Source organism: Homo sapiens, chromosome 13 (assembly GCF_000001405.40).
Source record: "Homo sapiens chromosome 13, GRCh38.p14 Primary Assembly".
Taxonomy (NCBI): Eukaryota; Metazoa; Chordata; class Mammalia; order Primates; family Hominidae; genus Homo; species Homo sapiens.
The window spans coordinates 59,567,279-59,588,693 of NC_000013.11; the positions used below are offsets into that span (position 1 = coordinate 59,567,279).

General features: G+C 37.1%; 1 long non-coding RNA gene across 1 annotated transcript in view; it reads right to left on the reverse strand.

Annotated features, from left to right (window-relative positions):
- The window catches only part of LOC107984625 (uncharacterized), a 98,066-nt gene extending 77,209 nt beyond the window's left edge, over window positions 1-20,857 (reverse strand). The window contains exon 1 of the long non-coding RNA XR_001749886.2: window positions 20,625-20,857. This is a non-coding gene — a long non-coding RNA (uncharacterized LOC107984625). The remainder of the gene's footprint in view (window positions 1-20,624) is intronic.
- Between the last annotated feature and the right edge of the window lie 558 nt (window positions 20,858-21,415).

The window sequence follows — 21,415 nt, forward strand, 5'->3', positions numbered from 1 at the left end:
TGTTCTTGTTCATTCTTACATGTTGAAAGAGAGTTTTAAATGAAGTGATATAGTTTGACATGAATATAAGAGAGATTATCTGTGTTCAATCCACGGAAAAATGAGATTATTGCTTAAACTTCAATTTTCTCTTTTGTAAAATGGAAAATATTACAGAGTTCACATTATAGGTCTGCTTAAGGGTAATTTAGTACATGCAAAACGCAATCAAGCAAGTATTAAGTTCTCCATAAATGTGAGCTCTTGTTATTACTCTCCCCAAATAAAGATTTCTGTTAAACATGAACACTTATAACAAAGCTTGGTACTGTATTGCCTTAAAGATCTTATTATCTGTCTTAGATTTTTAAAATTTTATTCATTAACAATGTCTCAATTACCTTCCAATTTTACATTTACTTTATTTTCCCTTAAATGGTATTTTATATAAATACATACTATATCTAAATAGAGTACCACATCTTCCAACCCTAAATATAGTAAATATTTTCATTTGCTCTATTGATGAGCTTAGTTTTATTGAAAATTCTATATTTTTATTCTATGCACGGCATTTGCTCAGTGGGAAAATTATGAATGTAATTGTTAGGGCACTAACTCAGATTTACTTCCTTGGTGGTTAATCACGATTTCCAATCCCAACAGAAAGAGATTTCCAGGAGTTTTCTGGTATAAACCTCTCTCTTTAGTGAGATCTCACAGCTTGTAAATGATAGAATTGGGCTCACGTCCAATCAGACCCATAGATAAATGTTGAAGTTGTGAGAATATATAGAATGAGGGGCTCCTTCTCTCGGCTTTGGAGCCCCCTCCCTCTGTCTCTGTACAAGGGAGCTTCTTCCTTCTCCCTTCCTTCATGCCCCTTCTTGCCTATTAAACTCTCCACTTCTTAAAACAAAAAACAAAACGGCAAAAGAATATATAGAATGATATAGTACATTTTTGGAGAACATATCCTTTGTGATAGAATAACAGATTGTGAAGAGACATAGAAAAAGTTTTTTTAATTACTTAAACTAATTTTTAGGACAATGCTTCAAGAGAGGCCAAAGAGTATAAGATATTCTTCTTACCATTAAAGAACTTAGACATTGTATTCAAGGTTCTTTTAAGTCACATGAACAAAAACCCATTCAAGATAACTCAAATGAATTGATGCTTTGTTATAAGGCTGTTTCAAAGAAAGAAAAGGAAGTATGCCTGAGCCATATAAACTAGAATTGTAAAGTGAAACAGCGTTAGGGATTGAGGCAGGCACTTAATCTTTCCTGCTCAGCACGAATTCTCTAATCTCGACCTTCCTTGGATTCTTTGCTCTGAATTCCTTTCTGCTTCACCCGGTTTCCTCTGCTGGCATATCTGAAAATAGCTCAATGCAGCCTGACTCTTAACTCTGGAGTCCATCACTTTATGCTACTAGCACATGTCTCTCTTCTCTGTCAGGCAGTGTCCCCCTCACCATTGCAGTCAGCTGCATTGTTTGCCCTTGGCCAAGAAATTTATCTGTTGTCAATTGGTTTGGCAGGAGGTTTGTGAGCACACGGAGTCTAGATTGACCCCTATAGAACTGTGATATTAGGAGGTAGAGACTTATGGGATGTAATCAGGTCATGAGGGTGGAACTCTCAAAAATGGAGATTAGTGCCCTTATAAAAGGGAGCCAGATAGCTCCTTTACCCTCTCTCTGCCATGTGAGCATGCAACGAGAAGCTGGCAGTCTGCAACTAGAAAGAGGGTTCTCACCAGAACCCACCATGCTGGCACTCTGATCTCAGACTTCTAGTCCCCAGAACAGTGATAAATACATTTCTGTTGTTTATGAGCCACCCAGTCGATGGCACTTTGTTATAGCCACTTGTATAGACTAAGACAATACATGTGTAAAAGTTCAAGAACCATGCAAAGGTAGTCATTCACGGCTATTCTAAGGTATCACATGAGATATATTGTATGTTGCCCAATGCACATAGTAAAAACAGGAGTCCTCAAACAGTTCCATGGTATCAGATATCTAAGTGAACTGTATGCACTGGCAAGTCTAAATAGAGAAAGTGACTGTTAAGAGGTATCTTTGAGAATGGTACAGTTTGACTATGTGACAAAAGCTTAAAAGGCATGAAGATAGGAAATGTTAAGGTATGGTTAAAAAGTAGAATAGGGTATTTGAACTGCAGCAGTGTTCATATACAGGTGTAATAAAAAATACAGTTGTGAAAGGTAAATTGTGGACTAATTAAGGAGGGCCCTGAAGTGCATATTAGAAAGGATAAATTTGATTATAGAAGCAAGTTTAGGTAAAATTTGATTTTAAAATATTTTCTTTTTGGAGTATATGTGGGAAAGTTTTGGTATTAGAGCTCTTTGAAGATGGGTCTTGGGTGGTCCAGGGTTAGAAAATAGAGTAAAGTGATACGGTTTATTCGCCATCTAAGATGCCATCCTTAGAAAAATATAAAAAGTGAAGACCAATATTTATGTAGCAAATATTTATGGTAGTGCTACAAATAAAATGAAAACCTGGAAGTGATTTAAATACCTCACAACATGAGATTTATTAATAAATTATGTATGCCCAGATATCGTACCATTAAAAAAATGTTTATAAAGAACATTCAGTGATGTGGGGAGAAAGGAAGGTGGAGCTGCTCATTATATTTTAAATGCAAAATTCAAGCATAAAGCTCTACGTTCACGTATATGGTACTGCCTAAAACTTAAACATCAAATCTTTCTTTTGAAACTTTTGGACTCAATCCTTACACTTCTTAAACAGAATATAATAACATTATTTATATTTTTGAGAAAGATTTATTATAACAAAGATTGGTATTTGTGTTATATGCTAAGGCAAATGCTAAGCTGCTGTAACAAAGAGACAATAAAAGGTAAGAGCTTAAATAAGACAAGATTTATTTCTCTCTCATTTAATCATTTGGCTAATCGAGGCTCACTGAGTAGCTCCATCTCACGAGGTCATTCAGGGAACCAAGTTTCTTTTATCTTGGTACCTGACCTTTCTCTGGGTTTTTGGTTTTGGTTTTTGGTTTTTTCATGCATGATCAAGCTAAGTTGGTGCCATGCCCCTGTTCTAGCCCACAGGAAGTGGAAAAGAGAGCAGCAAATTCAAGCACCTTTATTTTTAAGGATGTGTAGCAAACGTTGCTCACATCACTCTGCTCATATCTTATTAGCCAAAATTTGGTCACATGGTCATACAGCTGTATGGCAGGCTAAGAAAAATAATAGGCAGAGGGGCAGTGTGCTCTAAGACTTAAAGGAAGAAGGAGAGAAGGGATGGTTGGGGACAATAATCTTTTCCACACCTGCTGGAACACAATTGGTCCTCAAAGACCAACAGTTAATAAAGATTAACTGTTCCCAGAATACCTAAGTATGCTTTTTGTCCTTATGTCAGTATTGGAAACACTGTGGTGATTAGTAAACCAGTCACTGCTTTAGATTACTGGTAATTAAGCAACCAGATAGTCAAATTACAGCAAGAATAAATCTCAGACCACAAACTTAGGTGGGAATACGTAATTATATTCTTTTTTATCTTTAAATATTTTAAATCTGACCCCAAGCCCTGTGCCATCTGGATGGTAAGAAAGTCAATTTTTGGAATTACTGGACAATTTTATCCTAACGTTGCATTTTTTTTTTTAAAGAAAACTACTTTGAACACACAGTGAAAACATGACAAGAGGCAGCATGTAGCCAAGTCTCTGCTAACGAGGTGAGCTGTCTCTCAGAAGACACTTGTGAGGGCCTGAAAGTCAAACAAACAAGAAGAAGATCTCAATAGTTTAGATCAGGGAAAACTTTCTCTACATCTTTGTCATTTTCTTGAAGATGAAGAAGTGTTGTAGCAATTTTCTAAAATGCTCTAGTTGACATCTTTATTAATGATCTTGTGGAGGCAGCAAAGGGTACTTAAATGAAGTTTGCAGATGATGCTAAATTCAGAGCTGTTGCTAATACCAGTAAAGACAACAGAGTAATAAATAAACTCATGATGGTTAAAAATACAAGGAAGGAAAAAAGGGGGAAATACAGGAAATGTCTGAAAGTGATACAGAACATGCATATTTTGTGATGTTATATGAAAGCTACCATCCCACCTGAAACCCAGCCCCCCAAAAAAGAGACCTACGTTAGGGTAAATATGAAGATACTGCTTCATGGGAGAGAAGAAATTTTCCCTTCCTCCTGACTCTGTGGAGATGAACATAGAACAGCATGTCTAACTTGGCACCAAGTATTCAACCTGGAAAAGTCTGAGACTACAGAACAGATCTGAACTGAGAATCACCAAGGGTGATGCAAATAAAAAGGTTAATAGGGATAAATATTTATAATTTCAATACAAAAGAAACATCTGCAATTATTTGAAAGGTGCAAACACTATGAAGAAAAGCAATTATTTAGCTTCAGAAAAGGCTTGTACCTAGAAATAATGATGTTAAGTATGATTTTATTTCAAAAATATCAGGAAATTTTTTTCCAGCCACAAAAGCTATTAGATCTAAGCAGCAGATGCAAAGAACATTTTTCCAGAAACTTCCTTTCTGTGGGTAAGAGGAGAAGTAGTGAAAAGAATTCTAAAGTAATTTAAGAGAAAGCATTAGCCCACCAGGGAGCAAAAAGCCAGGGGAAGCAGAGACCTGGAGCTTAGTAGCACCAACAGAGTCCTCTGGGAGCCTTGAATTGAGGAGCTGTGTCTCCAAGCTTACAAAGCCAAGGAAACATTTATTAAAAGCAAAAAAGGGAGGGACTCTGAGTTCCTAAATATCAGTAGAGAAGCAAGCTGGCTTCACCCCACACACAGAAAATTAAAAACAAATATACAGTGCTGAGATTATCACCAGCAATATCTTAGAATTCAAATTATGAGGATTAGGCAGTTCATGGGGTCATAAAGAAGTAAAAATCGGACTTCCATATTTAAGATGCTCCTTCCCTTAATCTGCACAGCACCAAGTATTTGAAAATTTATCCCCAACTTATGGTTTGTATACTAGAAAAAGTGAGATTGAGGTGGACAACCAGCTTCCCTACCATCCTGGGTTCCCTGCCAGAAGCCCTGTCCCTGTCTCAACCCACAAGAAGCATCCAGAATGCGTGGAGAGAGATACCCCTGAAGACAGCCAGAGACTAAGGAGGGAGGGTGGAGTAACATTCCAAGTCCTAGAAACTCTACTCTGTAACTCAGCCAAAGGAGACACCAAATCAAAGTTGCTGTTCAGCAGCCGCACGCTGGAAGAGCTTTGTTCCACAGGTATCCTGGATGCAAACTCCTAAGCAGCCCTCTTATACTACCAAGGTATCCCCCTTTGGGATCTTCCTCACTCAGGACAGACAGCACTCTGATTGTTTGCTAGAATAGAGGCAAACCTGTGTTTAAGGTGCCATCTAGTACTGAAAAGGAGGCAGTGACATAGCAGGAAAAAAAAAAAAGAAAGAAAATCAGCAGGACCAACAGGTAGATTACAAAGAAGCTCTAGGCAAATATATCTAATTTAAAAACAAGCTAGACAGAGAAGACTGGAATAAATAACCAATCTTTCAATGCAAAGACATAGACATACATCCACAAGAAACAAAAACAAGCAGGGAACTATGACCATCCAAACGGACATAGAAAGGAACCTGTGACTGACCTCAATATGTGAGCTCTCCAACCAAAAATTCATAATAGTAGTTTTAAGGAAATTCAATGTTACCTGGAAAACCAATTCAGCAATTTATCAGAGAAATTTAAAAAAGATGTTGACATAATTTTTAAAAACCAAACAGAAATGTAAAAACTGAGAAACACATGTGCTGAACTAAATTCATTAGAGTCTCTCAATGACAGAATGCATCAAGCAGAGGAAAGAATCAGTGAGCTCAAAGACAGATTATTTGAAAATACGTAGTCATAGGAGTAACGGGAAAAAGGAATAAAAAGGAACAAAGATGACCTACAAGATATAGAAAATTACCTCAAAAGACCAAATCTAAGAATTATTAGTGTTTAAGAGATTTGAGCAAGAGCAAGGAGTAGAAAGTCTGTTCAAAGAAGTAGTAACAAAAAACTTTCCAAAAGTTGAGGATATAAATATTCAGATACAAAGAGGTCAGATTACACCAAACAAATTCAACCCAAATAAGACCGTCCCAAAGTACTTAATAATCAAACTCTTAAAGGCCAAGGACAAAGAGAGGATGCTAAAAGCAGCAAGAGAAAAGACATAAATAACATATAAAGAAGCTGCAATTTGTCTGGCAGACTTTTAAACAGAAACCATACAGTCCAGGAGAGAGCGGGACGACATTTTCAAAGTGCTGAAAGAAGAAAACTGTCATCCAAGCATACTATATTTAGCAAAGCTATTCTTCAAATCTGAAGGAGAAATAGTCTTTTCTAGACAAACAAAAACAGAGAATTCACCACCACCAGACTTGACTTACAAGAAATGCTAAAGAAAGTTCTTCAACCTGAAATAAGAAAACACTAATATGCACACACACAAACACACACATACACACACACACATTGAAGATATAAAACCCACTGGTAAAATTAAGTACATGGACAAACCTAGAATACTCAAATACTGTAATTATGAGGTGTAATCCACTCATAATTCTAGTATGAAGCTGCCAAAAGACAAATCTATCAAAAATAATAATAGCTACAGCAATCTGTTAAGAGATAAGCAACAAAAAATATATATAAAATGAGAAAAATATATATAAAATGAGAATCAATAGTCAAACTGTGGGGGGATAGATTTGAAATGTAGAATTTTTCTTTTTTTCATTTGTTTCTGTTCTTTGCTTTGTGGTCTAAGATAAGCTGTCATCTCTTTAAAATAACACATATGTATATATGTATATTATATATACACATACACATTTATATATGCACACATATATGTTGTTTGGGGGAAGCCTTGTGGTAACCACAATGCAAAAACCTATAATAGATTTGCTAAAAATAAAGGCAACAAATTGGAACTTACTACCAGAGAAAATCACTTAGCCACACAGAAAGAGAGTAAGAAAGGAAGGAGGAGTTACAAAACAACCAGAAAACAAGCAACAAAATGGCAATAGTAAATCATTACTTATCAGCAATAACACTGAATGTAAATGAACTCAGTTCTCCAATTAAAAAGACAGTGTCTGAATGGATAAAAATTAAGAGCCAACTACATGCTGCCTACAAGAAACCCACTTCACCTATAAAGACGCACATAAACTGAAAGGGAAGAGGTGGAAAAAGATATTTCATACAACTGGAAACCAAAAAAGAGCAGGAATAGCTATACTTATCAGATCAAATAGACTGAAAATCAAAGACCATAGAAACAGATAAAGAAGGTCACTATATAATGATAAAAAGGTCTATTTAGCAACAGGATGTAACAATTATAAACATCTAAGCACCCAACACCAAAGCTCCCAAGTGTAAAACACAAACATTAATAGATTTAAAGGGGGAGAGAGACTGCAATACAGTAATGGTAGGGGACTTCAATACCCCACTCTCAGTAATGGACAGATCATCCAGACAGAAGATCAACAAAGAAATATTCGAGTTAAGCTACACACTAGACCAAATAGTCCTAAATGACGTTTACAGAACATTTACCCAACTGCTGCAGAATACACATTCTTTTCAACAGCACATGGAGTATTTTCCAGAATAGACCATATCTTAGCCCACAAAACAAGTCTCAACAAATTCAAGAAAACAGAAATCTTATCAAGTATCTTTTCTGACCACAAAAGAATAACACTAGAAATCAATAACAAGAGGAACCTTGGAAGCTATACAGACACATGGAAATTAACATGTGTTAATTTCCCCTGAACAAACAATGGGTCATGAAGAAATTAAGAAGAAAATTTTGTCTTTTTTCCTTTTTTTAAAAAAGTAGAGACAAGGTCTCACATTGTTGCCCAGGTTATTCTTGAAATCCTGGGCTCAAGTTATCCTCCTGCCTTAGCCTCCCAAAGTGCTGGGATTACAGGAAAGAGCCACCATGCCCAACTGAGAAGAAAATTTAAAGTTTTCTTGAACAAATGAAAATGGAAATAAAATACATCAAAACATATGGGATACAACAAAAGCAGTACTAACAGGAAAGTTCATAGCAACAAATATCTCTATAAAAAAGTAGGAATATGCCAAATAAACAACCTAACAATGAATGCACCTCAAGGAACTAGAAAAGCAAGGAAAAAAAATTAGTAAAAGGAAAGAAATAATAAAGACCAGAGCAGAAATAAATGAATTTGAGACTAAAAACACAATAAACAATATCAACAAAACAAAAACTTGAGTTTTTGAAAAGATAAACAAAATGAACAAACCTGTAGCTAGCCTAAGGAAAAAAGACCCAACTAAACAAAATTAGAAATGAAAGGAGACATAACAACTGAGACCACAGAAATATGAAGAATTTTAAGAGACTACTATGAAAAAATATACACCAACAAATGGAAAATAAATGGATAAATTCCTGGACACATACATTGAAGATTGAACCTTGAAGAAATAGAAAAACTCAACAAACCAACAATGAGTAATGAGATCAAAGCAGTAATAAAAAGTCTCCCATTGAAGAAAACTCCAGGACCTGATGGCTTCACTGCTGAATTCTACTAAACATTTAAAGAAGAACTAATACCAATTGTACTCAAACTCTTCAAAAGAATTAAAGAGGAGAGAATACTTTTAAACTCATTCTATGAGGCCAGCATTACTCTTCTACCAAACCAAGGAAGGACATAACACAAAAAGAAAACTGCAAGAGAATATCATTGATGAAAATAGATGCAAAAAATCCTCAATAAAATACTAGCAAGTTGAATTCATAAACACATTAAAAAGACTATTCACCACAATCAAGTGGGATTCCTCCGAGGGATGCAAAGATGGTTCAATACATGAAAATCAATAAATGTGATACATCACATTAACAAAATCAAGAACAAAAACCATATGGTTATTTTAATAGATACTGAAAAAGTATTCAGTAAAATTTAACACCCTTTTATGGTTAAAAAAAAATACTCATCAAACTGGGTATAGAAAAAGCATACCTTAAAATAATAAAAGCCATATGTAACAAACCAAAAGCTAACATTGTCTGAATGGGGAAAAATGTAAAACCTTTTATCTAAGATCTGAACAAGACAAGGGTGCCTACTTTCACCACTTTTATTCAACATAATACTAGAAATCCTGGCCAGAGCAATTAGGCAAAAGAAAGAAAGAAAAGGTATCCAAAGTAGAAAAGAAGAAGTCAAATTAGCCTTGTTCATAGAAAACATAATCTTAGAAAAATCTAAAAACTCTATCCAAAAAATTGTTATAACTTTTAATCAAATTCAGTAAAGTTGCAGGATACAAAATCAACATACAAAAACCAGTAGCATTTATATATGCCAATAGTGAACAGTCTGAAGAGAAATCAAGAAAGCAATCCCATGTACAATAACTACACAGAAAATAAAATATCTAGGAATCAATTTAGCCAAAATATGAAAGATTTTATACAAAAAAAAGCTATGAAACACTTATGAAAGAAATTAAATAGGACACAAAAAATGGAAAGATAGTCCATGCTCCTGGACTGTTAAAATGGCAATACTACCCAAAGCAATTCACAGATTCAATACAACGCCTATCAAAATACAATTTCTTCACAGAAGTAGAAAAAAGAAAATCCTAACATTTATGTAGAACCACAAAAGATCCCAAATAGCCAAAGCCATCCTGAGCAAAAAGAACAAAGCTAGAGGTATCATAACATCTAATTTCAAAGTATATTACAACACTATAGTAACCAAATCAGCATGCTACTGGCATAAAAACAGACACACAGACCACTGCCAGCATAGAGAACCCAATATAAATCCATGCATTTACAGCCAACTCATTTTTGACAAAGGCTCGAAAAGCGTACATTAGGGGAAGTACTGTTTCTTCAATAAATGGTGCTGGAAAAACTGGATATCCATATGCAGAAGAATGAAACTACACATGTGTCTCTCACCATATACAAAAATTAAATCAAAATGGATTAAGGACATATCTAAGACCTGAAACTATGAAAGTACTAGAAGAAAACATTTGGAAATTGCTGCAAGACATTGATCTGGGCAAAGATTTTTTTGTGTGTAAAAGACCTCAAAAGCACAGGCAACCAAAGCAAAAATAGACAAGTAGGATTATATCAAGCTAAAAAGCTTCTGAAGAGCAAAGGAAAGAATAAAGAGGCAACCCATGGAATGGGAGAAAATATTTGTAAACTATTCATCTGACAAGAGATTAATAACCAGAATAAACAAGGAGTTTAAACTCAATAGCAAACACACACACACACACACACACACACACACACAAATATTCTGATTTTAAAATGGGTAAAAGACCTGAATAAACATTTCTTGAAAGAAGGCATACAAATGGCCAGCAGGTACATGGGGAAAAATAATGTTCAACATCAGTAATCATCAGAGAAATGTAAATCAAAACCACAATGAGATATTATCATCTCACTCCAGGCAATATGGCTTTTATTTTTAAAAAATAAAATAATTGATGCTGGCCAGGATGTAGAGAAAAGGGAATCCTTGTATACTGTTGGTAGGAATTTAAATTAGTACAGCCACTGTGGAAAACTGTATAGAGATTTTTCCAAAAACTGAAAGTAGAACTACTATGTGATTACTACTGAATATTTACTCAAAGAAAAAGAAATCAGTATATCAAAAGGGCATCTGCACTCACATGTTTATTGCAGCACTATTAATAATTGCAAAGATATAGAATTGACCTAAATGTCTAGCAATGGATGAAAAGATACAGAAAATGTGGTATATGTATGCAGTGGAATACTAACTGGTGACAGAAAGAAGGAAATCATGCCATTTGCGACAACATGGGTGGAACTAGAGGTCATTCTGTTAAGTGAAATAAGCCAGGCACAGAAAGACAAATGTCACATGTTCTCACTCATATGTGAGAACTAAAAAAAGGGAAAAAAAATGGATCTCACAAAAATAGAGAGTAAATTAGTGGTCACAACAGGCCAAGAAGAGTAGGAGGAGATGAAAAAGAAAGGAAATAAAGGTTTTTTTAATTAAATAAATTAAAGAAAAAGAAAGACAAAAGCAAGAAGGAGAACTAATGATTTTCAGAATTCCTCCCTCCAGTCTTGGAAAGGATGAGCAGGAAAGACTCCAGTCATATATTATAGGAAATACTTAGAAGAGATCTCTGATGTCCTCTAAGAATTAATGCTCCTGTGATGGTAAGTAGCTGATCCATCACAGTAGCAGGTGTACTGGGGATAAACCAATTTGTCTAGTGAATATTGATACATTCTGACAACAATGAACTTATGCGGTTGTAACATAATCTCAGTTGTGACAAGTTCTCCTCCCATCCCTTCTGGGTAGTTAAAATAATTACATAATAGAAGTGCTAAAGGAAAAAACTGCTTCTCTACTCACAAAACTTCTGACACCAAATGTGTGGGTTTTCTGCACCAAGAAATTCTCCGGTTGTCTGTGGACACAAGATGGTGTCCTATAATGTAATTCAATTCTGACATTAAAACCAACTTAGCACAGACGCCATACATCAAGAGCTCAGTCCCTTAAGATTGCTCCCCACCTTAAGATGTCAGCCACAAATAGTTGATCCACAGGTTACCCACACTTCTGTATGACTTGGTTACAAATCAGGGGTTCCCACATCCCGTTGTTAGGTTCAATAATTTGCTATAATGGTTCACAGAATTCACAGAAACACTTTGCTTACATTTACCAAGCATTACATTTGTATCCTTTATAAAGGATATTATAAAGGATACAAATGAGCAGCCAGATGAAGAGGTCCATTGGGCAAGGTCCAGAGGGATCCTCAGTTCATGAGCTTCTATCCTCTTGGAATGCAGGATGAGCACCCCAACATCTACGTGTCCACCAACCCAGAGCTCTCTTAACCTTGTCGTTTAGGGCTTTCATGGAGGAGCTATTACTTAGGCATGATTAATTAAATTATTGGCCTTTGGTGATTAACTCAATCTCCCAGGAGGTTGCAGGGTGGGGCTGAAAGGTCCAGCCCTCTATTACATGGTTGGTGCCTCTAGCAACCAGCCCCCATCCTGAAGCTATCTAGGGGCCCATCCAGAGCCACTTGATTCAGGTAAACCCAGGTATGGGTGAGAGGGGCTTATTATGAATAACATGACAAATGTCCACTCGAGGACTTGACTGCCAAACACTCACATACACATACTTTTTCCATGCTTACAATTAAGCAGCAACAGATTTAGCAACTATGCAATGCAAAATACTGCCACCAAATATACCCCTTATAGAAGACATCAGTAAAAGGGAGATAAATCGTTAACTGCCACTGCCTCCAGGCCCAAATCCAAGAGCTCTGAAAGGTCTATTCTTCCTCTACATCTTTTGCAATTCCATCTGGACAGTCTTTCAGTTATGCACTATTTTGTAAACTTTGCTCACTGCAAATAAAGTATGAAAGGCAACAGGAAAGCAGGGAAAGTTAGAATAGGTAAATATATACATGAAACAGTAAGGAAGAAAATATGAGTAAGAACGATAGTACTTATCTCTGAATTAGTGACAAAGTTACAGTATTTTAAATTTTCTTTCTCCTCTATTCCATGTTCCCAATCTAATCAGCCAGTACCTCAGCTGGTCAAGGTTCTTTACGTGGTGGGATTCTCCAAATCTTACTCAGAATATACAAGTCATTGGTAATCTTGCCTGTAGACGTTTACTGTAGTTTTATCTTTATCACTGAATAAGGAAAAACTAGGAAACATCACTGAGATTTCCTGGGTTCCATGAAGAATTCTCCCTGTCTGCCTCCATTGTACAAAAGTAACCCTATTTTTCGTTGATAATAAGGATCCATCACCTTAGTTAACATGGAATTCTTATTTTTGCCTGTTTTCCAGAGGAATGCTAGATGGCATTCTCAACTCATCTCAATCTCAACTTCCATCATTGTTGCATTTATTGACAGAAATATTTTTCTCTTGGTTACTAACACACTTAAACAAGGAGATTCCAAAGACAGAGAAAACAAAGGCTATTGGAGTAATTTGGTTATAGAGAGAGCTCAAGCTTCTACCTCCATAGAAGATTTATTTTAAGTCAGCTGTTTACAACCTGGAAGTGGGCCTTCACCAGAACCGGACCATGCTGGCACCATGATCTCAGACTTCCAGCCCCCAGAACTGTGAGAAATAAATTTCTGTTCTTGATAAGCCACCCAGTTTCTAATATTTTGTTCTAGCTGCTGGAGCCAAGAGTTACGATAGTGAGATATACCACTCTCACTTCCACATCTGTTTCATAAACCCTGTGTTCTGGCTATGAAGGAAACAGCACCAGGTATTGGTCACTGGTTCACAGCAAACCTACATCTTAAACAGCACATGGGCCACACAAGGAGCTGTCCCCCAGCCAGAGCTGTAACTGAGTCTTAAATGGACCGTTCCACTGTGCTATTAGTCCAGCTGCTTCTGGATGGTAGAGTACACAGTAAGACCAGTGAATCCCATGGCATGGGTACATTGGCTCATGTATTTTGCTTTGAAATAAATCCTTTGCTCCATAAACTCTGGCCCTAGCTCAGACCTTATGAAAGGCAATCATCCTACATTTTTCAACTGAGTGGTATCCACTGGGATCTTGCCTCCATACAGTTCTTCTTTACCCTTTCCCAGACATGTTAGGGGTCAAAGGACATAATTCTTAAGTTTCTTCAGGATCACATAGCAATCACAAGCATGACATTGCATCCCACCAACTTTGGTTCTGAGAGGCCAAACTTATATAGCAGTCTCTCATTCATTCATTCATTCATTCACTCATTCATTCACTCATTCATTCGTTCTCCCTCTCTCCTTTTAGCCCTTTTTTTCTCATGTTCTTTTTTATTCTTCCTCTTTTCTTCTTTTTCTTCTAATTCTTTCTTCTCCTTCTTCACTTTGCACTTTTCATTTTTGTTAGTTCTAACCTCTATTTCCTTCTCCAAACAGAATGAAGCCCAATCCCTACTTAAGTTTCCCAAAGCAACGTTTTTCCTGGTTAACTTTCAGGCATACTATGTCATAAAAAACTTGGCACATGCAAGAAGAAAAACAACCTTGAGAATATTACATTAAGTTATTCTTTCTACCATAAAAAAAAATCAATCTTTGTCATTTGTCTTTATTTTAAGAGTTCAAGCTTTGATCTTCCACTGCAAAGATGTATGTATTTAAGCATCAGGGGAAGTGTTTGCAAATTCGCCCATACAATCTTCATAAACTTTCTCAGTTTCACCCTCTAAGATCATTTATCTTTCAAAATAAAAATCTTCTCTCAGAGCCATAGCCTTATTAGATAGTTGCATTTTAACCAAGCATTTGATAGACTTTTTGTCTGTCTACATACCTATTTGCTTTATTTTGTTAAAGTGTTTATTTTCAAGAACAGATTTAAGTGTACATTTTAACCCTTTTGTATATTTTCTTATATCTATTGGGATTATTATTCTTGTTTTACCCTTATTTAACTTCTGTTGACAACTCATATTTTATGACATTAAGCTTTAGTAATAGATTTGTGTTAAAAGTAATCATTTCTATAGTCTGACATGTTTCAAAAACTTTGAAGCTGAGGCTTAAATGTTTTCTATGGACTGTCAAAGATCTGTTTTTACTAACATGGTTTCATTGAAAAAATAAAGAATGGCTTTAAATATCAGCAAAGATTTTTTGAGTCATAAATGGAAATGCACAAAAGAAAAACAATTTATTGCAAATAGTATGTGATGAGAAATGATCAAAAATGGAAGAAAATTTTCTGAGAATAAAAAAAGAGTGTTTTGAATATACTTTCACACACACATACTTTTCTCTAAGGTAATGTTCTTAATATCTTTAGGGTCTTGGACTCCTTTGATAATCTAAATAAAGCTACAGACTTTCTTCCTAAAATGAAACATATTGGCATACAGAGTCCATAGGCCCCAAGGTAAGAACCCATCTCTAAGGAATATTAGACAATTAATCCAAGACAAAATGCCTTACTCCTTTTCTGCCCACAGTCCAAAATTCCACTTGTTGAAAGTCAGTATTTATCCTGAAGTAGAAGTAAGGCCAATATCCCCTGGGGTTTGACCTTCTATCCATTAAAACACAGCAGAGAAAGAAAGAATAAGTAAATGAATGAATGCATGGAAGCTCAATTCACCATTGGTGGGACTATATCAAATACTGTGTGGGCCTGATTAAAGTCATTCTGGGCAGAAGGGACAGCCTGAGCCGAGGGAAGAGGTGTGAAGTGCCATGCAGTCTATGGCAAATTACAAGTGTGAAAGGCCAGTACAAGAGACTGGACCCTTACATAGGTGGTGAGGCAGGGTGATGAATGTAATGATGACCTGACTGTGGAGAAAGGGTTTTTGAACAGTAACTGGCCAGCTTCAAATGCTAGATATCACCTTGGCCCTCCTAGAAGCAGAAACACCATCAGGAGATGGTTGCAGAAGTCCAAGACAAAGGTGATGAGAGACTGAAATGAGGTAGTGGGAGATGACATAGCAAAAAGAGAAACAAAACAAAAATTAAAAACCTCGAAAAACATTAGGACATAAAAAAGCAAATAGAAATGAAAAAGGCAATCTATCACCCTCGCTAGGAGTATTTACATTTCACAGAGGATTTAAATTGTAGATAAACGGCTTAAATATCCCAGGACCACCCCCACTGAGGGCCTTGGGTGGTTTTGTTGTGCTGCAGACACAGCACATAGCAGTGTGAGGGGAGAACATCTTTTCTTTCCACTAAGGAACTACAGCTCAGGTTGACATCCAAGACTGAAACTTAGAAGCAGGAATATTTGGGGAGTGGGATAAAGAAAGGGGATTGCAAAGAGGTGTTTTTTGGTTTTGTTTTGTTTTTTGATTTTTTTTTTTTTTTTTTTTGGTGTTTTGTTTTTGAGATGGAGAGTCTCGCTCTGTTGCTCAGGCTGGAGTGCAGTGGTGCGATCTCTGCTTACTGCAACCTCCGCCCCCCGGGTTCACGCTATTCTCCTGCCTCAGCCTCCCAAGTAGCTGGGAGTACAGGTGCCCACCACCGCACCCAGCTAAATTTTTTTTTTGTATTTTTAGTAGAGACAGGGTTTCACCATGTTAGCCAGGATGGTCTCGATCTCCTGACCTCGTGATCCACCTGCCTCGGCCTCCCAAAGTGCTGGGATTAAAGGCGTGAGCTACCACCCCCAGCCGCAAAAAGGTTTTTATACCAATAAACTTTCTTATAATCTAAATCATACACATACACACACACACACACACACACACACACACATACGTTGAGCCCCAGAAACAGAGAGTGGCTAGAGAAAGTCTCGTGAGTGGTCAAAGAATCTTATTCGTGCCATGCAGGTACCATCTGTTTGGATAGGATTCTTGCACTACATGGAATAGACATACTCTTGTATTGAGTGCTTAAAGTACATTTTCTTTGATTTTCAAAATACATCTTCTTATACTGAAAAAAGTACTCCTGTAAGTGCTTACACAAGTAAAATCACAGCTTATGATTCATATGCCTGATTCAGCTTCACTGAATTTTGACTCTATAGCTGATATATTTTGGGGGCATTTTCTAATTCTTGGTGAATTCTCTCTTCCCATCTTCTTCAGGTCACTGGCAAATAAAATAAAGAGCCAAAAAGAAAAAGGAAGAAAACAGACTGTGTATATAAAAGTAATCTAAACTGGTGTTAATTTTTGATGCTTATATCAGGGTCATTCCTTACTTTCCTCACTTGCCTGGCTTGCCTTTTCTCAGCAAGCCCAGAAGAGGTGATGTCAAGGAGTGTCTACAGACAGGGTTTTTGCTCCACCTCCACCCCCAACAATTTCAGTTTGTACTTCCCTCAAGTAATCCACATACAAGTACAATGTAAAAATGCAAGTAAAGTCACGTGATTTTTCTTTCTTTTTTTGTTTTTGTTTTTTGCAAGCCCAATTACAAGTCTCCCAGGTCCCCACCTCTGACTAGCTTCTATTCCTAAGCCCCTTCTACTAGGTTGAACCATATTAAATAACCCTTTTTATATGTCAAGCACAGTTGACTGTCCTCAATTTCACGTGGTTCAAGTTAATATGTAGAAATCCTGGATTCACCGTTGCACAGAATGTGTCCCTTCCTGAGACTGTAGGGAAGAAAGACATTCTAAGCCATTCTTTCTGCCTGTGCCACCTGTTATACACCTCTGAGAGTCCCCAATTTCTTCTACTCTGCTTGAGGATTCTCCCTCCTATAAAGTTTGTGTTGGCTTTGGTGAGAAATAACAAGGAATCCTGAAAAAGTTAGGGGCTTTCTTGGACAAAAAACAAAGGAAAGCCACCTATAGTCAGAATATATATCAGAATTAGTACAGGGATGCAGGCTCCTACGATAGCATCCCAGGACCCCCTACCAAGGGCCTCTGTGGTCTTGCTTTGCTGAGGACACAGCACCATCACATGTGAGTGTGAGAAGAGAACGCATTTTTCTCATACTAGTCCTTGGGTTGATATCCAAGACACTGTTCTGGCCCCTGGAGAAAGATTCCCTCCCTCCTGCATAGAGGAGAGGCAAGGAAGAATGTGGATTTTACAAAATGTGGCCAACAAGAGAAAACTAAAGAGTACAAACTCTGGAGACACTGCTGGAAAAATTCATGTCTGTCTTTAATAATCGATAGCTTATGCTGGCTATCATCACAAGCACCATACGCCTGCAGACTGTGATACAATCAAGCTTTCATTTATATTTATGTGGCCAGGAGGATTTTGTATTTGATGATTTTAAAAGATGCATGGACTCTGCGCCGTTTAATTCTGATATATTCGTCTATTATCTATAAGAGGCCATTGGCTAAATTGTACTATTCACATGAGGGTCCATGATGAAAATTTATCAGAATGATAGAGAAATATTCAGATTTAGTTTTTCCTCAATAGTAAAATTCGAAGACTATAAGCACATCGTGCTTCCAAATGACCATCAGAACTAGATCTAAGAAGACCTCATTCTACAAGGAATGCATTATTAAAATAGTTTGTTATGCTGAATTAAAAGGGAAGCAGCTTGACAACTGACAGAGCAGGAAAGACTGGATCCACAGAATTGCAGCCTATAAAACTGTTGTCTTGGGGAGTCAAATTCAGCAAGCCTGGAGGAAGCCTGTAACAGCGAAGGAAACTGCCATTTCTAGGTGGCCTGTCACTAGCAGAGTCATCTAAGGTTTTATTTTGTTTCAATAACAAAATGTTTATTTAACTTCTGTCACTGCTAACTCAATCTAGACAGGTCACCTCAGTTTCTAAGCCCTTTCATTTATTCAGCATCTATGGGTGAGTGTCGCAGTGTGATAGTTACTGTGATAGGTATGGATTGTCAGAAAGGATACTCACGGTCACTGCCCTGAGGAACCTGACAGTCTGGAGAGAAAACACATAGATACACTGATTGGTACAACACAATCGTTTAGTGATCCTCTTGAATGAGGCAAGGACAGGCAGGAAATTCCTGATTCTCAGTGGAAATTTCAATAGTATCGAACAAAGGTGTTCTATGGACTGTAAGTCATGCCCTCATCTCAACATCATCATTGTAATGGTGTTAAGGAGCAGGGTATGTATCTGCCATTATCTCAAGTAACAGCTTTGCAGTAAATCATTCTTGTGTGATCAGTGATATGGATTTTCAGGATGCTGGTCTTGGTGAGCAAAGATTATTGACTTATTGGAAGCAACATAGGGGGTTAAAATGCATTAGACTTGGGGTCAGAAGACCTGGGACCTAGTTCCAGCTCTGCCACTCTCTGCCAGTGGGATGCTGGAAAAATCACTCCACTTCCAAGGATCTCAGATATCCTTAGCTGTGAAATGTCAATAGAATATTAAAAATGACTAAAGGTGTACATTTCTATGTCTCAATGTGGAACTGAGCCTTTTCCCACTCCCTCTAACTAAATAACTTTAAATGAAGGCAGCTATGGAGCATGTTGACTTTGTCTCAGAGCCAGATTTAGAATTGTGCCCTTAAAAAACCACATGATAATGCTGATGGAGATTTGTTGTATTTGTATGTTGGTTTTGGAACTAAATATCCATCCATTCACTCGATATATATTGAGCACATATTTTGGGGCCTGAGAAACAATGGAAAAAAGAGTCCTTTCTTTCCCCTGCGGCAATAAGCATAAAGAAGTTCCTGGAATTTAGGTCAATAAGGTCAGGTATCTTCTAGCAGGATGCATAGCTTGCAGCTAGTGTCATAAAATACTATATCTGAAATGATCTTAGAGATCATTTACAAAAAACTCATTTTTCGCCAGGGGAAAGTGATACCTAGAGATATCTAGCTTCCCCAAGTCACTCAGGCTGCTAGTGATATTCTTCCTTTACTCAACAAATATTTGAGCTCTAGACATTTTCGCTAGGTAACAAAAAAACAGTAAACAAAGTACTAACAAATCTCGCAGTCTAATGCTTGCCACAGATAAACATGATTTGGTAGGTGTTATGATCTGGAAATCCATTTTAGAGGAATGTCACAGAAGGTTTTCTTGAAGGAATCAAATCTAGGCTAAGCTCTAAAGGATAAGTAGAAGGCATAGAGCTAGGACAGTGAAGCCTAATTTAGAGTTCAACCCTTTTCTACAAGCCAAGACTACAGGAACTAATTGAGGTTTGCTGCTCAGTAGAGAGTGGGGGAATATTCCTGGAGGAGACTTGTCCGCTCTCACCTTGTTTGACACAAACTGTTAGCTAGCTCCTGAGAACCTTTTGTCTCTGTTTGCTCCGCCCCTTTGATTTGATGGTTGGGGTGAGAATAATACAGTGGAAAGGGTGTGTCCTGCAGAGCCTAGTAGATCTGGGTCAATCTCAGCTTCAACAGTGACTACAGCTGTGGCCCATGGGCAGAGCACTTCCCTCTCTGAAACTCCCAGCTGCAAAGCTAGAGCGATACCTCCTTAATAAAGTTGTTGAGTCTTTAATCAAATAATGAATATAAAACAGCCACAGTCTCAGCAGCCAGGCCAGATAAAGATCCCACAGAGAGTAGCTATGAAGGGTCAGGAAACTGCAAACACCTGAAATTGCAGGCTTCTTGTCAGGGGTGACTAATAGACTTTGCAAAGGAAACAATAAATTCAAGGTCTCTAAACACTGAGAAACTATCTTCTGTTCTGCTCCTCTGCTTCCGCATTATCAATTAAAATTATTATAAATTTTCTTAGTGCTTTATCAAAAGTATATTAAAAGATACCTCTATAAAGCCTCCATCCCAAGCTCATCACTCCATTGGACTTAATGAGAAAAGATCCAGGAAATAAAATTCAAATGTACAGATTTACTGGTTAGAATCCATTCAGCCATAATCTGTGAAAAAAGGCACAATGTCTGCTGTTTTGCTCTTCTGGTATAAATTAATTATGGTTTATTCAAATACATTTTTAATAAAGAACCTAACAAAATTGTCAATATAGGCCCCAGGCATGTTTTAAACAAAAGCACAAGTATTCCATCCTACCTCCTGCTTCAAAGGGGTTCATCCAGAGTGTACAGACACAATGCTCCCCAAAGCGATCCTCTTTGACAACATACAGAACAAAGCAGGTAAAGATGATATCCAGGCACACAGATCATGCATACTCAATGCATAGTTTCTCTTCAAGAAGCAGAGACTTCCATCTGCCACAGTTTCCATCTTCAGTGATGACCACCAAAAGCTCTTGGTTGCCTGGTTTGTGCTGCATGTAACTTCCTTTTCACAGCTCCTTCAAATGTTTTGTTAACCTTCTCATAAAACTTTGCACAGGAGGGAAGTGTTAATTTGCAAACTAAACACACTGGACCTGACTGGCAATAGCAAGTGGGTATTTGTAAGTCTGGGAGGCTGATAAAATGCCTGTGATTTCTGACATATGAAATTATTTCCACTCTGGCTTTTCAGAAACACATATTAATGGTAATATCAACTCAGTCTTTCCTACTCAGGGATGTTGCATCATCAGCTTTCAGGCTCAAATTTTTACAATCTTAATGATTCCTAACCAATAGGTCTTAATTTCAATTGCAAAAATCCTGTAGGCTTTCTTTAGCTGCTAGAAAAGCAACCTGCAAGTTGTTTTGCCTCCTATCTTCACAAATGCTAATGTGATCAACAAAAGTTGAAGTAGTCACATGAGAAAGAGTATAATGCAGTATTTTTCACCCTGAGAAAGCTTCATTGTTTGATTTAATTAATCCGGTTAGTGACCCTTGTACCCTTCCAGCTACTTTAAAAACCTATATTGATGGGGGATTACCCCTATGTAACTT